Source organism: Homo sapiens, chromosome 18 (genome assembly GCF_000001405.40).
Source record: "Homo sapiens chromosome 18, GRCh38.p14 Primary Assembly".
In the NCBI taxonomy this organism is placed as follows: domain Eukaryota; kingdom Metazoa; phylum Chordata; class Mammalia; order Primates; family Hominidae; genus Homo; species Homo sapiens.
The window spans coordinates 4,122,120-4,142,975 of NC_000018.10; the positions used below are offsets into that span (position 1 = coordinate 4,122,120).

The 20,856-nt window shown below is 37.6% G+C and overlaps 1 protein-coding gene across 11 annotated transcripts in view, besides 2 other annotated features; it reads right to left on the reverse strand.

Moving 5' to 3' along the window:
- The window catches only part of DLGAP1 (DLG associated protein 1), a 959,276-nt gene that overhangs the window by 626,088 nt on the left and 312,332 nt on the right, over positions 1-20,856 (reverse strand). The window lies entirely within an intron of this gene.
- Positions 2,382-3,361: an enhancer, noted in NCBI's record as "OCT4-NANOG-H3K27ac hESC enhancer chr18:4124501-4125480 (GRCh37/hg19 assembly coordinates)". NCBI's record gives its function as "activates a minimal SCP1, AML or CMV promoter by ChIP-STARR-seq in naive H9 embryonic stem cells {active_cell/tissue: H9 hESC(naive)}" and the evidence as "EXISTENCE:reporter gene assay evidence [ECO:0000049][PMID:30033119]".
- Positions 3,362-4,341: an enhancer, noted in NCBI's record as "OCT4-NANOG-H3K27ac hESC enhancer chr18:4125481-4126460 (GRCh37/hg19 assembly coordinates)". NCBI's record gives its function as "activates a minimal SCP1, AML or CMV promoter by ChIP-STARR-seq in primed H9 embryonic stem cells {active_cell/tissue: H9 hESC(primed)}" and the evidence as "EXISTENCE:reporter gene assay evidence [ECO:0000049][PMID:30033119]".

The window sequence follows — 20,856 nt, forward strand, 5'->3', positions numbered from 1 at the left end:
TGTATGGCAAACCCTATGCCTGTGATGGTGTAGTAGCAGCTCCATAGAGAAAGTTGCATAGACACAACCTTTGCTTTCAGTGTATTTATAACCAGGAAAAGACAAATGTTATAGCAGGAGGGGTTATAGGAGGGGAAAAATATTAAACCAAAAAGCAAATGCATGGTTACAGTTCAGTCATCACATGCAGGCGAAAACTTAAATGATAGTTCACTTTAGTCCTTAGCTAAGTAGTTGTGTCCATTTCAGACTGAAATCTTATTCTGTAATTCCCAAGAAAGGCCTTTTCCGCCACGATTACTGTGTTTTCGCTTTCTTATTTTGAGGGGGTGATGCGGGAGAAATACATGAAGCTATTGTTCCAGAACAGGTTAGTCATGAGGTCTAACCTCAAGCTGGCAAGTCCCTGTGGAACTGTAGTGAAAATGTTTTTACGTTTTTTGCACTGTTAGGACTTTCTAAACTAATTGTACTAAATTCTAGGACCTGAGCTAAAAGGCAAGCCTGCCAGTTAAATGATGATTGATTAGATGGTAAGAGACCATCCAGAGAGATCTACCTCCCTGGAGGTAAGTATTTGTATTTTCATTTCAAGGGGAGAATGAGACCTGAGACCATGGAGACATCCTAAGGTTGTAAAGCTGGAGAGGCGAGACTTTGTCTACTCCTTGGAGAGATTTATTTGCATTCCAAAGGCTAAGAATAGGAACTCAGGATCCTTGCCAAAGAGCAAAGGTTCTCCCTTCTCTTTCAGGAGGGAAGGGGAGATGGCTGTCCCTCTCCTATATAACTACCCAGGTTCATCTTTGGGGGATTTCTTGCCTACAGTGGACCCTATTTGCTTCTCACTCCATTGCCCCAAGGGTAAGAACTGGGGCTAAAGGGATCTGGAGTGGAAATTATTGTATAAGTAGTGATAATTAATCTGTTCTGCTTCAGAAACCTTGTGTTTGCATTCAGGGTAGTATTAGTAAATATAGAATTGGAAACTTAGTATCCTTCCAGCTCTTTCTCCCTCATGGGCATCAACGGACAAGATGGGAGGAGGGAAGCACCAGCCTATGTAGGTGGGTGGTGGGAAGGAGGGGTGGAGTCAGGGGAGTTTTAGTGACCAGGGAGCCTGGACTCTGGGCCAGTTCACTTCCTGCATTCCAGGTGCAGGAAAGGAGAAAGGGGGATCAGTTTGACTGCTAAGTTAAATGTAGGCCGAGGAAACTGTTTCCAGTAGGTAGAACTGGGACAATATACACTCTCAGGGCCATAGGAGACCCTCCATAATTACATGCATAAGGATGCACAGAGGAGAGGGAGGGAGGAAGAAAGGAAGGGCCCAATAAAGTCTACTCGTGGAAATATACTCGGACTGTGGGACAGAAACAATGTTCAGGAACATAAAAAGTGACCATCTTAAGTAATGCTTACCTAATATGACTAAATGACCCTACATGCCCAGCTGGGCAGAACAATTAGAAATGCTGATCTACTCTTCAATCAAGAGGGAAGTCACTGGAGCTGCTGAACGAACAGAGCATAACCCATGAGTTGTGGAAACTGCAATGGAACGGCGCCAGCAATTGCCCTGCGAATACAAAAAGCGGAGGGCCCTCCTCTCCCTTCCTCAGGGTCTTAATCTACACTCAACTTCTCAGGGACTTTGGGCAAAACAGAATACTGTTTATAAGGCGGGTTTCTGGTAACAATGTGTGGGTTGGTTTTGCCCCTGGAGGGGTTAAAATGCACTATTCTGGCATATTCACCATTTAAGTCAATGCCACATGAACATCAGCAGGTGTGAAAAGATCACTCTGAGATTCTTGGTGTTTCTTAAAAGCAGAAGGTGAAATTCCCATGTTAAAGATGCGCTCCTAGAGGAAGCAATATTCTTATCATCAAGGATGGAAAGTCAATCGCAAGAGAATTCTGAACAGATATTGCTGAACTAACTCCTGTCCACTAAGGCTCCCCACATAATTTGGTTGTTTTCTTCACAACTGACTGCTCTTTGTCCAATCTGACATATGAGTATCTGACATTGCTTCTTGGGGTCTTCATTTCTTCCTGAGAGCTCCTGTGCCAAGAAAAACTTGTAATATGCTTTCTCCTATGAATCTATGTTATGTCAATTTCACTCTCAAACTCAGCCAGGACCCTAGAAGGATGGAGGTGGAATTTCTCCACCCCTACACCTCCAAAATGAATATTACCAGAATTTAATATTATTGGGAAAAAATGTTCGAATAATCCTCATGCCTCTAAAAGTCATTATATCTCTCACCAACTGTAAATAGCTTAGAATGTTGAATTTTGGAGTAGATGAAGAAAGAAAGATCTCAGCAGTTTGGGCTCAGAATCTAGACACATAATGACAGGCCAGGGCCTCTGGCTCGTAAGATACGGAACAGCTTTGGCCTCAAGCAGAGCTTGGGTCTCCACTGACACTATCAGCTCAATTTGAAACAATGGCCTTGTTTTCAGAAATCCTTCACCATAAAATATTTTGCTATTTCATTAGTCACCATTAAAAGTGTTAAAAATGATTCATTCAATACTTTGTATTTTCTATTAAGGAGGAATAAAAGTATTGACTCATTCAATACTTTTTATTTTCCTATTAAGGAGGAAGGTTTACATGCTTGGTGTTTTCTCTCCAGGGTTCAGAGTTCATGAGAATCACATTCTCTTGATATGGGCTATTTCCTAGCCTGAAACAGAGAAAGGCCATGCATACATCCCAGGATTTTAGCCATTGTTACCAGCAGTAGAAACTTTGACAGGCCTTCCTGGAGACCATCCACCACTAGCCAGAGTTCATGGGCAAGACTAGGTACCCCGGAATCAGGGCCTCGAGCATGGCAAGCAAGCATGGGGTCCAGGTTGGTGGGCAAATGTCATAGCCTCAGTATGACAATGGCCAGCAAAGGCCAGTGATAGAGTTGGATGAAGCTTAGGTATCAGTATATAGGAGCAAGGCAAGGGGTCACTTATTGTAGACTTAGTGCATAGAAACATTTAAAAAGCACAGTACCAGGCATTATGCCAGGCACTGGGAGGCACACAGATGAGTGAAGAGGGGTGCTTATGGGTGATGGATATGTAAATGGACAATTACAATACACAGCAGTGCATATGTTTGAAATGTGCACAGGTCATCATGAGGGCACAGTGAAAGGGCCTCCAGCCCAGCCTAGCAGTAGGAAGTGGGGGGGCTACAGGAGGAGGCCAGAGAAGGCTCCCTGGAGAATGGATGCCTGAGCTGAGTCATAACAGATGCAGAGCAATTCACCAGACAAAGGAGAGAAGCATTCCCATCATTAGGGACAACAGGCTGGCCTCACATTGTGTTGCTGTGGATTGCAGACTCAAGCAATATTGGCAAAAAGCCCCAGACTCAGTGTCTATCTGTGTAGACATAGGGCTGGAATAGTGGAGACTCAAGAGGCAGGTCTGCATGAGACATGGTCAGGGCCAGGGAAGTGTGGTAACCCCAGGAAGGCTGAGCTGTGCACTTAAAACAAACAAACAAAAACAAACAAACGAAAAACAAAAACAAATCCAGGAAGGTGTGTATTAGGACAAAGGGCACAAACTCTAATCACAGGGGAAAGTAACGGACGTTGAAGAAACTAGATTGAAGTTGACAAAGCAGTGAAACTAGATACACCTGGACCTGTTTCTTGGCCAGAGATTTACTGTTTTTATGTCTTGGTCTCAGGCCAAAAATTTGTCCTAAAATTAGAGCAGGGCACTGGGTTCACAGGTGGCTGCTACGAACATTTCCAGGGCCAGAGTGACTGGAGCCACAGGAACAGGGAATCACAGAGAAACAAAAAACTAAGGGCACAAGCCGCAGTGGGTGAGACTTGATGAGCAAGGCAGTTTTCTGACCTAGTTCAGGCTTCCCCTTTACTTTCCTGTGTGGCAGGAATCAATCCCAGCACAGCTGGACTCAGGCTCATAGATGGAAGCTTGCAATTTGAAGCACCTGGCCAAGGCAGCCTGCACCGAGCAGGGACACAGCTGTAGCTTTTTGTAAGTGAGTCCTCTCATGGGTAGGGGTAGGGGGATCACATTAAAAAATAAATAAAAGCTACTGCAAAGATGGATATAGCAGACCTCTCTATATTATTAAACACTTTGTCTCAGAGCTGATTTTATATTGCCCTTAAGTGCAGAGATAGCAATAGTCAACTCAGCAGTGCACCAACTCATTCGCTCAAAATTACAAAGGGACAACTTCTAAGATCACATCTCTCAGGAAAATACAAAGCTTGTTTGCCATCTAGCCCGAATTAACCTGTTCAATATCATGCACAAATGCACAGTTTAAAATACTTGCCCAGCACATTTTTAAACATCTCTATACCTATTTGCTTTATATCGTTGTATAAATGGAGTATGCATACATGTGTGTATGTGTCACATATACACACATACAGGGTAAATATATGTTTATATGCAGGTAGATATATTAGCCCTGCATTTATAGTTCTAAAGAAATGAGAATGCTTTTTTTCTTGGAAGAACCCTTTAGAAATTTATAGGTGCTTAGCATCATAAAATGGCTTTTCCCCTGACCTGCCACAAGTCTGTGGTGCAACCTCACAGCAGCAATCTCATTACTCTAACAGTGGTTACATATGGTGCTTCAAGATTTTTATTTTTAAATCACAGAAACCCAAAAACGTAGATATCAAAGACACTTTTCAAAGGCAACTTCTAAAAAGGATAAAACCTCTTCAGACAGCTGTCCCAGATTAATGAAACCTTTCTCCCTCAAGGGAAATGAGAACATCCTACAGGAAATAGCAAAAGGTGGCATGACAGTATCTCCAGAAGATGAATTTCCTTCACTTCATTTATAGCACTAACCCTTCAGTTCTGCCTTAAGATCAGATTTGCATAATCATATTTTGTATCCCTGATCATTTGGCTTATGACACTGTAATATCAGTTGAAAATTTCCAAGAATAACTATATCATTTCAGAAGAGGAACTGGAAGCAGCCACCAGAGTTGAACCTGTAAGCAAGGTGGCAGTTCTGAACATCAGCAGGAGCTACTATGCATGATTTGAGATTATTCAAAAGCCAGCATGCACCTTCACACCCTTCTCAAAGTAGGGTGTGGTACCGGCTGGCTGAGAAAATAGATTAGCAGTCAATAATACACTTTTAAAAGAATAACTATTTTTCCAAAGGGGAAAAAACATGATTTAGTCTCTTTTTTCCACCCTATCAGGGTATTGACTACTTGCATTTTTTGGTAATCATTAGTCATTTTACTGCAAAAATGAAGAGGTACAAAAATACAATGTAGGAAAGAGAGAAGAGAAAAGAAAAGGAAGATTTCAAATTCAGAAGAATACATCTGGAAGCATTTATTTAGTTGATCCATTGATGAAAGAAAAAAGTCAATTGATTTCACAAGGCAAAATTGGGGCTACTTTACTAGTGTATTTCCCAGCAGTTGACTTGATAATGATTTTTCAAAATAAAATATATTATCTGAAAAACATAACTCAGCATAATTGTAAGAATCATACATTTGCTACAAAATAGAAAAACATACTAAAATACTATTTTATTGCTAATTTGTCATCTAATGTAATGGTGAATTAAGACCTCAGAAAATAAGGCCTGAAACACAGGAAATTTAAAAATATTTGTCCCAGGTATGCCACAAACTGTGTGAAGCTTTCATATGTAATTTCTTGGCTTATTCAATTAAATTATCCAATCACTGTGAAAAGAAACACATGTAAAACATTCATTTTACATGGTTCAACACTATGCAACAGGTTCATGTGTCAAAAGAAATCACTGACTACAATAGTCCACAGTAAGACTGAGCTTTTTCAAAAAGCATTTTGAGTTTGACATAAATCTTGTTTTTTATGGGATATTTCTTCCTTTGTTAGTTACACAATATTTCCCCTCAATAACAGCACTAAGTTCAGTAACAGCATTCTATGTCACTAGAGAAAATCATGGTTGGTCCTTCATATCTGTGGGTTCAACATCCGTGGATACAATCAACTACCAATTAAAAACATTCAGGAAAAAAATTGCATCTGTACTGACCAGATACAGACTTTTTTTTCTTGTTATTATTCTCTAAACAATACAGTATAACAATTACTTACATAAGATTTACATTGTACTATGTACTATAAGTAATCTAGAGATGATTTAAAGTATACCGGGGGGATGTGAGTAGGCTATATGCAAATACTACATCATTTTATACAAGAGACTTGAGCATCTGTGGATTTTGGGATCCAAGGCCATGCTTGTTGCCAATTCCCCTCTGATACCAAGGAATGACTGCATGTATCTCCTGCAACTGCTGATTCCACACGTGAAAATGTGATTATATTACTTGACATTTATGTGTCACTTTTTGTTTTCTAAATGCTTTACAATTTCCTATGGGATTCAAATGAGCAGAAAAGAAAGCCCCCAGTACACAGGAAGGCATGAACCATGGAAACATCTCCAACTGCTAAGTTCCTACAGAGAGACACGGGTCCTTACAAAGTAATACTGGCCTGAAGAAGCAGGACCAAGGAGCATGCTATCAGCGAGGATCCAAGTTAATACCCCAGACCTCCAAGGCTGGACCACATTTACCAATGGAGAGAAAAATACATGCCCAAGATGAGAGTGAACGACAGAAGCCAACACAAGATCTCCTGACTTTCCATATGACATTTTGCATCACTGAAGATTACGCTACTCTGAAGACCTTGACTGAACAACTAACTGCTGGTAAACACCGGCATTTTTTTTTTAACTTGTAGTTTTCCTGAAATGCCTGGAAATTTTCCTTCTAAAGGTTGTGCTCAGTATTCGAGAATAAGTTAAGGCTAAGTTCATAACAATAACAAAGGCTATAGAGTGAACAGAAGTTTTTTTGGTTTGGTAAGGAAGGGAGGGGCAAGGGGCATTTGCAGTCAAAGGCCATCTATAAGTACAATTGTATTATTTACACCTAATTATTAAAATCATAATAGAGGGGCTACCGAAATGTGACAGCTAAATTAGTGCTCACTGCATGAAGCACAAGAAAATAAAAGAATCCTTTTGATAAATTCCACAGAGAGAAAAACTAACGTAATGATATTTGGCAATGAAGACGGGTAGCACCTTTAAAGATTAAGAGAAACCCATAAGGAGCTTCCAATTTCCAATCTAAATTCAAGTATTACACACACATATAATAGTTTGGGCAAGCATATGGCTGTCCGGACTACACTATGGTAATGCAGTATCTCAGCATTGTCTTTTCATTAAAAATTGTATTGGGCCACATCAGGCAGCTCCTCTATCTTTCCTTCATCATGAAGGAGAGGGTGGGAAATCGTGGTGCGTCATAGAATGAAACTTGTCAGAAGCACTGGTTCATCATCCTCACAGGCCAATCTGCTTTCTTGTAGATATGTGCTTTTCTAAGACTACAAGGAACACTGCGACTTTTCCTGAGGCTTTGGGTTACTGGAAGATGAGGAAGGATAAATGTGAAGTTGTGGACTGTTTTAAATTCCACCTGACCATTCTGCTTTCCTGAGCAACCTACCCACGCCAATTTAGTACTGGCTTTCTTCAGAGCATTAGGACAATGGGATTCTGTCTACAGCTGTGCCATGAACGGACTCTGATTCCTTAGGCAAAGAATCTCTTCTTGCTAAAATAGTTAATTTGAAGGAATAACAGGAATATATAAAATAATGTCTCAAAGTGTTTTGGTCACCTGGTAAAGAACTAGATTTCACATGAATGCAACATAATCAGTACTATCCTTAGCTATTGATGACATATCTAAATGGGACATTCTGGGCATTGTCCGGAGCATGCTGAACAGAAGCATTATATTTTCTTAGAAAAACTTAATGGTGCCCTCATTTGACCAGCTTTTCACCATGTCCAAACCTTCCAGAACATTGTGATTTAAATGATCATAGTCTGTTCAATTTCACTGCAAGAACATCATTACATGTTTTATTATAAGAACATTAAATATTTTCCTTCCGTGTTGGTTTTTCAAGCTGTTCTTGTTCTAGAGTAAAAGTTTCATGTACTCTAACAAAACCTTTTCAGTTATACAGACAGGTAACTATCTCCTATTTCCCAAATTTTCAGAATGAGTAAATTCCAGAGGCACTGATGATACCAATATACTCATATTACCTCAAGTGAAGAAAGAAAGGAACACACGAACACAGATAGTACCTGGAATAGTGATTATTTAATAGTAAGTGATGGATTAGTAAGTGAATGTGTAAGTGACATCAGCAAAATTGAGTGAAGATCCCAGTGACATCTAGATGTGATTAGAAACTCTTACCATTTCAACACTTGTAAGTTCAGGACATTCATTTATTTTATATTTATTTATTGAATCACTTGTCATTTATGTGCCACTTTCTGTTTTCTAAATGCTTTACAATATTAGAATCTAGGAAGACAGTGGTGAGGAAGACAGATTCAGTCCTTGTTCTTGTGAAGTTTACATTCCAGTAGAAGGGGCAGGACCACACCCTCCCATCGCACACACATACACACAGAACATGAACACGGACCACAAGAGAGCGGCACATTGCGACTAATGTCAGGGTCATCACAGAGAAAGAGCCGAGGGAGCCGTTACAGGTAAGGGAAGGCTGTTCTGAGAAGGTGACATTTTGGCAAAGATCTTTTAATGGAGGACAGAGGAGGCAGGAAAACAACCAGAGAATGCCTAGCAAGAAGTTGGCCTGTTGCAAAAACTGTGAGAAAATCATCCACTCTGATTGGCGAGGATGTGGCCAGCAGGGGGAATTGCAGGAAAATATGACAAGGATTTACCCAAGAAGGGACTATTTGCATATAATTGTATTAAAAAAACCAGAGCCATAAACACATGTAATATTGATAAACAATGTCTTTTATGATCACAAACAGCATTACAGTGTCTTTTTTTTCAGAAATATATTATGCAACTATTTATATCCCAAGATAACTGCAGACATTCAGACATTCACAGAAAGAAACAAAGACCGTTATTGTCTCCAGTTTATGAGCTTCAGGAAAAAAACGTGGGCGTGTGTGTGTGTGTGCGTGCAAGCACGTGTAAGAGAGAGAGCAAGAACAGTTAATTACTAAACATTAGAAGAAAGTCAAACCATGTGTGGGCTCATGTCATTCAGGCCATCACAATCATTTTATTCCACATGACAAATGGAATAAGAAATAGTGATATTTAAAAGTAAAACATGCGAAGAACTGTAATACTTTAAAGCACAGGTTAGAAAGCTTTTTCTCAAAGGGCCAGAGAGTAAATGGCTCTAAGGGCCATACTTCCTCTGTTGCCAGTACCCTACTTGGCTTTTCTAGAACAAAAGCAGCCACAGACAATACATAAGAGAACAGGTGTGGCTGTGTCTCAGTAAAGCTTTATTTACAGTAACAGGAGATGGGCCAGATTTGATCCACGAGATGAGGTCCGCTGACTCCTGCTTTAGAGGACTAGAGGACAATGCTCAATAATATCTAGAAGAATCACTCCAAAATATCAAGCCAATTTCTCAAACGTGGGCAAGAGAAAGAGCCAGGAAAGGGTGACAAGAAACTGCTGGATTGGATTAGCTAGAGGTTATCGTATTTTACTAGCCATAGGCACAAATTTAAGTGATAGCGTAAAGAAATCTATAACTGTTTCTATTGACTGTGCAAATGTTAAAAGAACATTGTCAAAGATCTTATTTTTAAAATGTTGTATGAATGCTTCTGGCATGAGGTACGCAGCTGGCACAGATGATTCCAAAGTTCCCATCCAACTCTAAAATTCTAAGTTTCCAAAATTTAAATTATAATACAATTACTAGTATCTGGCAGAATTTCAAAAGCGGTTGAAATGGTGTTTTATGACTTTTTTTTTTCCTGGCTTAACATTTTTGTAAATTCTAGAATGCTAATTCTTGAAGCTTGGCAGCTAAAACAATAATTGACTATTTCCTAGTCACTTTGCAATTGGTTTCTTTTAATTGAGGATGAATTGGTACAGCATGTAAAATCTGAAAACTAAAAATGGATGCTTTAGACAATTCATTCTTTTCACTGAAATGATTCAACCATACTAAGCCATATATCTACTTTTATATATCATTTAGTGAAGACCCTGACTAAGCACTCACATTGTATAATCACTAAGTACACATTCATTGACCATCTATTACAGGGTAAATTCATGATTGGCCTATATTAGGGCATAAAACGCTTATTAATTGAGTGAATGAACATAAACTCTAAACTATGGTGTCTATGGGTTCAAATTATAGCTCTGCCACTTTCTAGCTGTGTGACCCTAGGGGAAATTACTTAACCTTTCTGTGTCTTTCTTGGTCATTGGTAAAATGGGGAGAAAATAATACCTATATTATAAGGTATTGTGAGAATAAAAGTTGACAACCCTATTTCCACCTGCACTTTCATTCTGCCAGGTACAATAGTTGTCTAACATATAAGCATCATATCATCCTACAAAAGAAATGGTCTTCCAAGAGAGCCTGGTGTCCTGCTGATTTCTGGCAAAAGAGTTCCCACTTAAAATTCTACTCTAAAGTATCGTATTCAAAATGAAAAGAGGAAAACAACAGAAAATGAAAATCTGTTAAAGGAATCAAGTAATTTCATTTGCTGCGTGCCATACATGTTGCTGGGTATTACGAAAGCTTCAAAAGCATAATTCCTGTTATCCAGGAGCTTTAATAAAATAAAACATACTAACAGGTAAAGGTAATTAAATGTACTTGTTACACATTTATTGAGCATTTGCAAGTTACCAGCATTGGTAATGCAAGGATACTTCAGATACAATCTAGAGAGGCAAGTCACATCAACTCTGTGAGACTTACTTTCTTCATCTTTGAAATGGGGGTAGAACTGTTTCAGCAAGATTTTGTGAGAATCACTGCACAACGGGCTGCAACATGACAGGCTTGCAACACCCTAAGCGCTTTGAGTAGAGGCTGCATGAGTGTGGAGGAGAGACTCAGCCTCCCCCAGGAAGGTGACAATAGAGAAGTGCCTTGAAGGAGGTTTGGGAGACAGAGAAATCCAGTAAGAACATGCCATGAGGAGAGCACAGCACATGCTAAGTCAAGGGCTTCCAACAGGGCTCATGAGTGCCAACGATTCACTGCCCCAACACCAGAGGTACAAGGGTTGCCTCAGATTCAAGTCCATCTAATCCATTCACCATTTGCCTATCAGAACTATTTAGTAAAATAAAATCTGATCATGTGCCTGTTTCTCCAGTCCCTGCTTAAAAGCCTTGAATAAATGTTGGTCCATTGGGTGAAATTAATGGGATCTTTTACAACCCTGATCCTAATTTACCCAGCTTTATCTCCTGGAGTCTGGTCACCATCGTCTCTTTTATACATGGCCACAGGAAGTATTATGCCACAGTGGCTAAGGGCTCTGGTTTTGGAGTTAGACACACTTTTCTACTTAGTTGCTTGGGTGAGTTATTCAGACTCTCTAGAGATCAATTTGCTCATTTGCAAAGTGTAAAATGGGTTATAGGAATTAAATGAAATAGCACACTTAGCATAGTGTCTGGTACGGAAGGATTCAACAAATACTATTAAAAACATGTCAGAAACAGTATTTTGGGCTTGCTTGCAAAATGGAATTTTGGAGTGAAGTTCGTGGGTGAGGCACTAACAGTGAGGTCCTGCGTGAGGATGGTGGCTGGTCGAGAGGATGTTAGGAAGGCAGGGATTTAAAAGGACTTGGGGAAAAACAACCAAGACCTAGTGAGAGGCTGGACAAGTAGAGGAGAAAGAATAAATCGAGGATGACCCAAAGATTTTGACATTGAGATAATAGTGGTCCTAAAAAAAAAAGGAGAAGTCAGGTAGGTGAGATGGGATGATTGAATTTATAATTTCATGATGCATAATTATACAAATTTATAAAATAGATGCCATATTCAAAAGATAGAAATTTCTAGATTTAAAATTATGACATTACCATGTTAACGAAATTTCCTAGTCTGAATCCTGTTAACATTATTAATACTTTTAGCCTTCATGCCAAGAAACACCCGTGTTCTCCTGTCTCTCTTTGCATCCTCCCCAGCTAATTCCTTCTTCTCCTGCCCCCTAAAGAACAGCCTTCCCTGGATTTCAAGCCACAATCCTTCTCTTTTTCTATTAACTGCCTCCCTGGGGCGGGAGGTTGGGGGGACTTGGTTAATCTTACTCTTAAGATTCTATTGGACTTTAGGTCTCCAGTTTACCTGCACCTTCCCCTATATTCAAACTAGGCAGAATTTTCCATACCTAGAAATAAATTTGAGTGAAAAATAATGATAATACAAATGTCAGTAACAAAGCAGGAATTTCAAAGTCGAGGCAGAGATAATTCATTCAAGCTTTTAATACCAATGCATATGTTATTTACCAGTAATTTTTCTTAAATAAAAATGGATCAAAATGTGAGAAACCCTCCTTGTGTCCCTCAGGAAATGTTTTCTCATGTGTAACATTTAGAGCTTGTTGATTCCCAAAGGAGATTAAAATGCCCAGTTAAACCCCACAATAAATATTAGGTTGAAACATTTGAATTTCTTATTACCGAAGACCCAGGAAGCCTTTTATTAGGAAAGCTGCCTTGCCAGGACATGATTTTTTTTCCCCAGGGGACATAATTAAAGAGGGCGATACTGCTGAGAGCATGTGCACCAACACGCTGTATTTGTCAACACACACAATGCCTTCCTAGAGAGGAAAAGCAGCCCAGCTGTTCTACAGTGGATCTTCCAAGAATGTATTCAGGCTCAACACCAAAACCGCCACCAAGAAAATGCAAAAAGCCCCACAGAATTTTACATAGGAATTTGAATAGTGTGGCCGGAAACTGAAACACAGTAGAAACTACCAGCAGAGTACGTAGTGTTTGATCTCCAAACTCTCTCTGACTATAACCATATGACAAATTGGGCATTAAAATATTACGGTTAATGTGGTACTTCATTCAAGAAATGTATTCAAGTTTATCACAGGTAAGGGGTGAAGGAGATTTCATAGATGACTCCCAGGTTCCTAACTTATGCAACTGGGTGGGTGGGTAGAGGTGCCATAGACTGAGACAGCAAACAGTAGAAGAGGGGGGAGCAGATGAAAGGGGGTGTTTTTGTGTTGTTTTGGAAATAAAGGGTTTGATGTGACCAGGAAGTACTAGTAGATGCCCTCCTATTTAATACATAGGCCCTAAACATGGTCAATAAGTCAGGTCTGAGTTATGAATGGGAATTAATTTAAGGCAGTAATTCAGACTATGTAATTCTTGCTTTGCCTTTGCTATTTAAACATTTAGTAACTGCTTAAATCTTCTAACTTTTGGCTTGAATTATTTTCTTCTAAGTTTAGCTTGATAGTGTTATTCATTTTATCTAACTATATTTTTGCACCCATTAACTATCTCTCATCCTCCACTCCCCACTACACTTCCCAGCCACTGGTAACCATTGTTCTACTCTCTATCTCCATTAGTTCAGTTGTCTTAATCTATAGTTCCCACAAATAAGTGAGAATATGTGAAGTTTGTGTTTCTGTGCTTGGCTTATTTCACTTAACACAATGACCTCCAGTTCTATCCATGTTGTTGTAAATGAGAGAATCTGATTCTTTTTTTTTTTTTTTTTACGGCTGAATAGTATTCCATAATGTATACCTACCACATTTTCTTTTATTATTATTCTTCTTATTATTTTTTATTATTATACTTTAAGTTCTAGGGTACATGTGCACAACATGCAGGTTTGTTACATATGTATACCTGTGCCATGTTGGTGTGCTGCACCCATTAACTGGTCATTTACATTAGGTATATCTCCTAATGCTATCCCTCCCCCTCCCCCCACCTCATGACAGGCCCGATGTGTGATGTTCCCCATCCTGTGTCGAAGTGTTCTCATTGTTCAATGTCCACCTATGAGTGAGAACATGCGACATACCACATTTTCTTTATCCGTTTGTCTGTTGATGGACAATTAGGTAGATTCCAAATCTTGGTTATTGTGAGTAGTGCTGCAAAAAACTTGAGAGTGCAGACAACTCTTCAATATACTGATTTATTTTCTTTTGGATATATACCTAGCAGTGAGATTGTGGGATTGTATGATAGCTCTATTTTCAGTTTTTTGAAGAACCTCCAAACTGTTCTCCACAGTGGTTGTACGAATGTACATTCCCTCCAGCACTGGTTTCCCTTTTCCCCACATCCTCACCAGCATTTGTTATTATCTGTCTTTTGGATAAAAGCAGTTTTAACTAGGGTAAGATGGTATCTCATTATAGCTTTGATTTGCATTTCTCTAATGATCAATGATGGTGAGCACCTTCTCATATATCTGTTTGGTATTTGTATGTCTTGTTTTAAGAAGTGTCTATTCAGATATTTTGCATATTTTTAAATTGCATTATTAGATATTTTCCTATAGATTTGCTTGAGCTCCTTATATATTCTTGTTATTAATTCCTTGTCCAATGGATAGTTGCAAACATTTTCTCCCATTCTGTGGGTTGTCTCTTCACTTTGTTGATTGTCTCCTTTGCTGTACAGCAGCTTTTTAACTTGATATGTCCTATTTTTTCATTTTTGCTTTGGTTACCTGTATTTGTGGCATATTACACAAGAAATATTTGCTCAGCCCAATATTCTAGAGAGTTTCCCCAAGCTTTTCGCAGTAGCTTTATAGTTTGAGGTCTTATATTTCAGTTTTTATTCAATTTTGATGTGGTTTTTTTATTATACTTTAAGTTTTAGGGTACATGTGCACAACGTGCAGGTTAGTTACATATGTATACATGTGCCATGTTGGTGTGCTGCACCCATTAACTCGTCATTTAACATTAGGTATATCTCCTAATGCTATCCCTCCCCCCTTCCCCCACTCCACAACAGGCCCCAGTGTGTGATGTTCCCCTTCCTGTGTCCATGTGTTCTCATTGTTGAATTCCCACCTATGAGTGAGAACATGCGGTGTTTGGTTTTTCGTCCTTGCGATAGTTTGCTGAGAATGATGGTTTCCAGTTTCATCCATGTACCTACAAAGGACATGAACTCATCATTTTTTATGGCTGCATAGTATTCCATGGTGTATATGTGCCACATTTTCTTAATCCAGTCTTTGTATATGCCAAGAGGTAGGGGTCTTGTTTTATTCTTCTGCATATGGATATCCAGTTTTCCCAGCACCATTTATTGAAGAGACTGTTCTATCTCCAATATATGTTCTTGGTACCTTTGTTTTAAGGTATGAATTCACTGTTGATAAGTGGATTTGTTTTGTGGGTTCCCCATTCTGTTCCATTGGTCTATGTGTCTGTTTTTATGCCAGTAAAATGCTGTTTTGGTTACTGTAGCTTTGTTGTAAAATTTGAAGTCAGGTAATGTGATTCCTCCAGCTTTGTTCTTTTTGCTCAAGACAGCTTTGGTATTCTGGGTCTTTTGTGATTTCATATAAATTTTAGGATTGTTTCTTCTATTTCTGTGAAGAATATCTTTGGTATTTTGATAAGGATTGCACTGAGTCCGTAGATTGCTTTGGATAGTATGGACATTTTAATAATGTTGATTCTTCCATCCTATGAACATGGAATATTCTTGCATTGTTTTGTATTCTCCTAAATTCTTTCATCAGTGTTTTATAGGTTTCATCATAGAGATCTAAAAATTCATTGGTTATTTCCTAGGTGTTTACTGTCACTTGCAACAGGGATTACTTTTCTGATTTCTTTTTCAGATTGTTTGCTGTTGGCATATAGAAATGCTACGGATTTTTTATGTTGATTTTGTACCCTGCAACGTTACTGAATTTATCAGTTGTAATAGTTTTTTGGAGGAGTCTTTAGGCTTTCCCACATATAAGATCATATGATCTGCAAACATAGATAATTTGACTTCTTTCTTTCCAATTTGGATGTCCTTTATTTCCTTCTCTTGTCTGACTGCTTTAGCTAGGACTTCCAGTAATATGTTGAATAACGGTGGTGAAAAGTGGGCATCCTATTCTTGCTTCAGATCTTAAAGGAAAGGCTTTTCCTTTTTCCTCATTCAGTATAATACTAGGTGTGGGTCTGTCGTACACACCTTTTATTGTGTTGAGGTATGTTCCTTCTACACCCACTTTTTTGAAGGTTTTTCTTTTTTAATCGCAAAGTGATGTTAGATTTTATCAAAAGCTTTTTCAGCATCAGTTGAAATGATCATAAGGTTTTTGTCCTTAATTCTCTTTATATTAAGACACTATTTGGGCAAATATTTCTATTGATATGTTGACTGATTCATCTGCATATGTTGAAGCATCCCTGGAATAAATCTCACTCAGTCATGATAAATGATCTTTTTCATGTTTTTGAGTTTGGATTGCTAGCATTTCAGTGAGGATTTTTGTATTAGTATTTATAAGGGATATTGACCAGTAGTTTCCTTTTCTTTGATGTGTCCTTGTCTGGTTTTGGTATCAGAGTAATACTGGCCTTGTAGAATGAATTTAGACATATTTGTTCTTCCTCTATTTTTCAGCAGAGTTTCAGTAAGATTGGTATTAGTTCTTCTTTGTATGTTTGTTAAAATTCATCAGTGAAACCACTGGGTCTTGGGCTTTTCATTTCTAGGAGAATTTTTATTACAGCTTTGATCTCATTAGTTGTTATTGGTCTGGTTCAGGTTTTGAAATTCTTCATGGTTCAATATTAGTAGGTTGTATGTGTCTAGAAATGTATCCATGTCTTCTAGGTTTTCCAATTTATTGACATACAGTTGCTCATAGTAGTCTCTAACGATCCTTTAAATTTCTGCTGTATTGGTTGTAATGTATTTTTCCATCTCTGATTCTATTTATTTGGGTCTTCTCTCTTTTATTCTTAGTCTAGCTAAATGTTTATTGATTTTGTTTATATTTTTATAAAAGCAACTTTCCTTTCATTGGTATTTTGTATTGTTTTGTTTCAATTTATTTCTGCTTTGATCTTTATTATTTCTTTTCTTATACTAATCTTGGGTTTGGTTTGCTCTCACTTTTCTAGTTTTTTAAGCTGCATCATTAGGTTATTTGTAGTTTTTTCTACTTTTTAATGTAGGCATTTATAGCTATAAACTTTCCTTTTAGCGCTGCTTTCGCTGTATCACATAGGCTTTCATACGTTGTGTTTCCATTATCATTTGTTTCACGACATATTTAAATTTTCTTCTCAATTTCTTCATGACCCACTGGTCATTCGGGGGCATATATTGGAATTTACATGTCTTTGCATAGTTTCCAAAGTTCCTCGTTATTGATTTCTAGTTTTACGCAACTGTGGTGAGAGGATACTTGATATAATTTCAATTTTCTTGATGTTTTAAGACTTGCTTTGTGGCTTAACAAATGGTCTATCCTTGATAATGATCCATGTGCTGAGGAGGAGAATGTTTATTCTGCCAGCCATTGGATGAAATGTTCTATAAATATCTATTAGGTCCAATTAGTCTACACAACAGATTAAGTCCAATGTTTCTTTGTAGATTTTCTGTCTGAATGATCTGTCCAATGCTGAAAGTGGGGTGCTGAAATCTCCAGTTATTATTTTATTGGATTCCATCTCTCTCTTTAATAATATTTACTTTATACATGGGTGCTCCAGTGTTGGGTGTAAGTGTATTTATAATCATTACATCCTCTTGCTGAATTGAACCCTTTATGATTAAATAATAACCTTCTTTATTTCTTTTTAGAGCTTTTTGTCTTGAAAGCTATTTTGATATAACTATAGCTACTCCTGTACTTTTTTAGATTCCATTTGCATGGAATATCTTTTCCCATCCCTTTATTTTAGTCTATGTGTGTCTTTAGAGGTGAAATATTTTCTTAGTAGGCAACAGATAATGGGTCTTGTCTTTTATCCATTCAGCCACTCTGTCTTTTGACTGGCAAGTTAAATCCATTTACTTTCAATGTTATTATTGATAAGTAAGGACTTACTCTTGCCATTTTGTTACCTGTGTTCTGGGTGTTTTGTGATCATTTCTTGCTTCTTTCTTTTTTTCCTGTCTTCCTTTCAGTGAAGGTGAATTTCTCTGGTGTTATTTTTTATTTTTTAATTTCTTGCTTTTTATTTTGTGTATTTGTTGTATGCTTTTTGTTTTGAGGTTACCATGAGGCTTGCAAATATCTTGTAACCCATTATTTTAAACTGATGACAACTTAACACTGATTGTATAAACAAAGAATCTTACAAATAAGCAAAGAGAAAATGAATAAAAACTCTACACTTTAACTTTGTCCCCCCACTTTTAAATTTTCTTGTTTCTATTTATATCTTATTCTACTGTCTATATCTTGAAAAGTTGTTGTAGTGGTTATTTTTTGATTGGTTCATCTCTTAGTCTTTCTAGTCAAGATACGAATAGTTTATACACCACAATTTACAACACCACAGTGTTGTAATATTCTGTGTTTTTCTGTGTACTTACTTTTACTGGTGAGTTTTGCACCTTCAGGTGATTTATTGTTGCTCATCAAAGTCCTTTTCTTTTGGATTAAAGTACTCCCTTTAGCATTTCTTGTAAGACAGGTCTGGTGATAAAATCCTTTGTCTTCTGTTGTTCTCGAAAAGTATTTCTCCTTCATATTTGAAGGATATTTTTGCTGGACATATTATTCTAGAATAAAAATATTTTTCCTTCAGCACTTTAAATATGTCATGCCACTCTCTCCTGGCCTATAAGGTTTCCACTGAGAAGTCTGCTGCCAGATATATTGGAGATCCATTGCATGTTATTTGTTTTTTTCTCTTGGGGCTTTTAGGATCCTTTCATTATCCTTGACCTTTGGAAGTTTGACTACTAAAGGTCTTGAGGTAGTCTTCTTTGGATTAAATCTGCTTGGTGTTCTATATGCTTCTTGTACTCGAATATTTATACCTTTCTCTATGTTTGGGAAGTTCTCTGTTATTATCCCTTTGAATAAACTTTCGACCTTGATTTCTATATCTGTCTTCTCTTTAAGGCTGATAACTCTTAGATTTTCTTTTTTGAGGCTATTTTCTAGATCTTGTAGGTATACTTCATTCTTTTTTATTCAGTTTTTCCCAAGATTTCAAATGAATAATTTATTAGGTGAAAATAAGGTTACAGAGACTAAGTAGGCACACCAAAGATGGCTAATAAGGACATGTAGAAGTTCTGAAAATGATCTGAGATAACCTTTGAAAATGAATTTGTTTATAGCCCAAACCTACTACTTTAGAAAACCCTGGAAAACAGAAGAATACACAAGCATGCATTCCACTTTTACATGACATCATTCCATGTCATGTAGCCTCTGGAAAACTCCACTAGGTGCTCATTAAGTATGAAAGTTTTGGCAAATGAAGTCTTAAAGTCTTAATATTATAAAAACAGTTTTGACCTTCTGGACTCCCTGAAAAATCTTGGAGATCTCCATGAAACCATACTTTGAGTACTGGTATCACCACACTTTTAGGTGTTTAAACATCACCTGCATTCATTTTTCTTTTGTCCTTTCTGACTGTCTATTTTCAAATAGCCTGTCCTCAATCTCACTAATTCTTTCTTCTGCTTGATCAATTCTGCTGGTAAGAGACTCTGATGCATTCTTCAGTATGTCAATTGCACTTTTCAACTCCAGAATTTCTGTTTGATTCTCTTTTAATGATTTCAGTCTCTTTGTTAAATGTATCTGATGGTATTCTAAATTCCTTCTCTGTTTTATCTTGAAATTTGTTGAGTTTCCTCAAAACAGCTATTTTGAATTCTCTGTTTGAAAGGTCACATATCTCTGTATCTCTAGGATTGGTCCCTGGTGACTTATTTAGTTCATTCAGTGCTGTCATGTATTCCTGGATGGTCTTGATGTTTGTGGTTGTTCCTTGGTGTCTGAGCATTGAAGAATTAAGTACTTATTGTAGTCTTCACAGTCCTTTTTTAAAATAATTCTTGTCAAGTTGCATCTTTTTATTGCATAGTCAAATGTTGTCCTTGGACATTCTTACCATTTAAACAAATACTCAAAAATTGTAAGTCATAATAAACTCTATTATACTATTGTAATCTGTTTTCTAAGGAAATTATTCTATCATCCAAAAATAACATTTATGCTTCTTTCAGAGAGTAGTTAAAATGTTATTTTATTAAAAATGCCAATATTAGTAATAATGGCCCATGAAGAAATAACTCTTCTATTGTGAAGGCCTGGGTAGTCCAATTAACAACATTACCACCCAACACAATATATCTACATATCTATATCTGTCTGTATCTCATAAGGCTTGAGACAGCCTCATCTGTAAGATTCTCATCTTGATAGTGATAGGTCTCTGAGACATGAAAAATAAACACGTATTCCACAAATAGATTTTAGTATCTTACAGATGTCTGAAAAATTCAAGTTATCAAATAGCAATAGAAGTTTCTAGCTTCTAAATTATTTCTGACATAAAAAGTATAGAACGGCAAAATAGTTAAGATTTATCTCAGAACACACTAACTTGAGAAGATTTATAGAATATTAAAATAGAAAAATAGCCAACAGGATTAAAAGGCTTGTTTGTACCTGTCCTTTGGAATGCTCTCCAGGTATTGGTATTCATAAATTTGAGTATTATGATCTAAGTTTTTCTGTCACTATGGGCATATCTGTATTAGGCGGTACCCCAAGCCCAGCAATGCTGTGAGGTGATTCTGCTCTTGCAGAATCACAGAGGTGCTGCCTTGGTGGTCTCGGAGAAGATCGGGAAAAATTTTCTAGATTGCCAGGCAAAGACTCTTGTTCTCCTCTCTTACTTTCTCCCAAACAAACAGAGTCT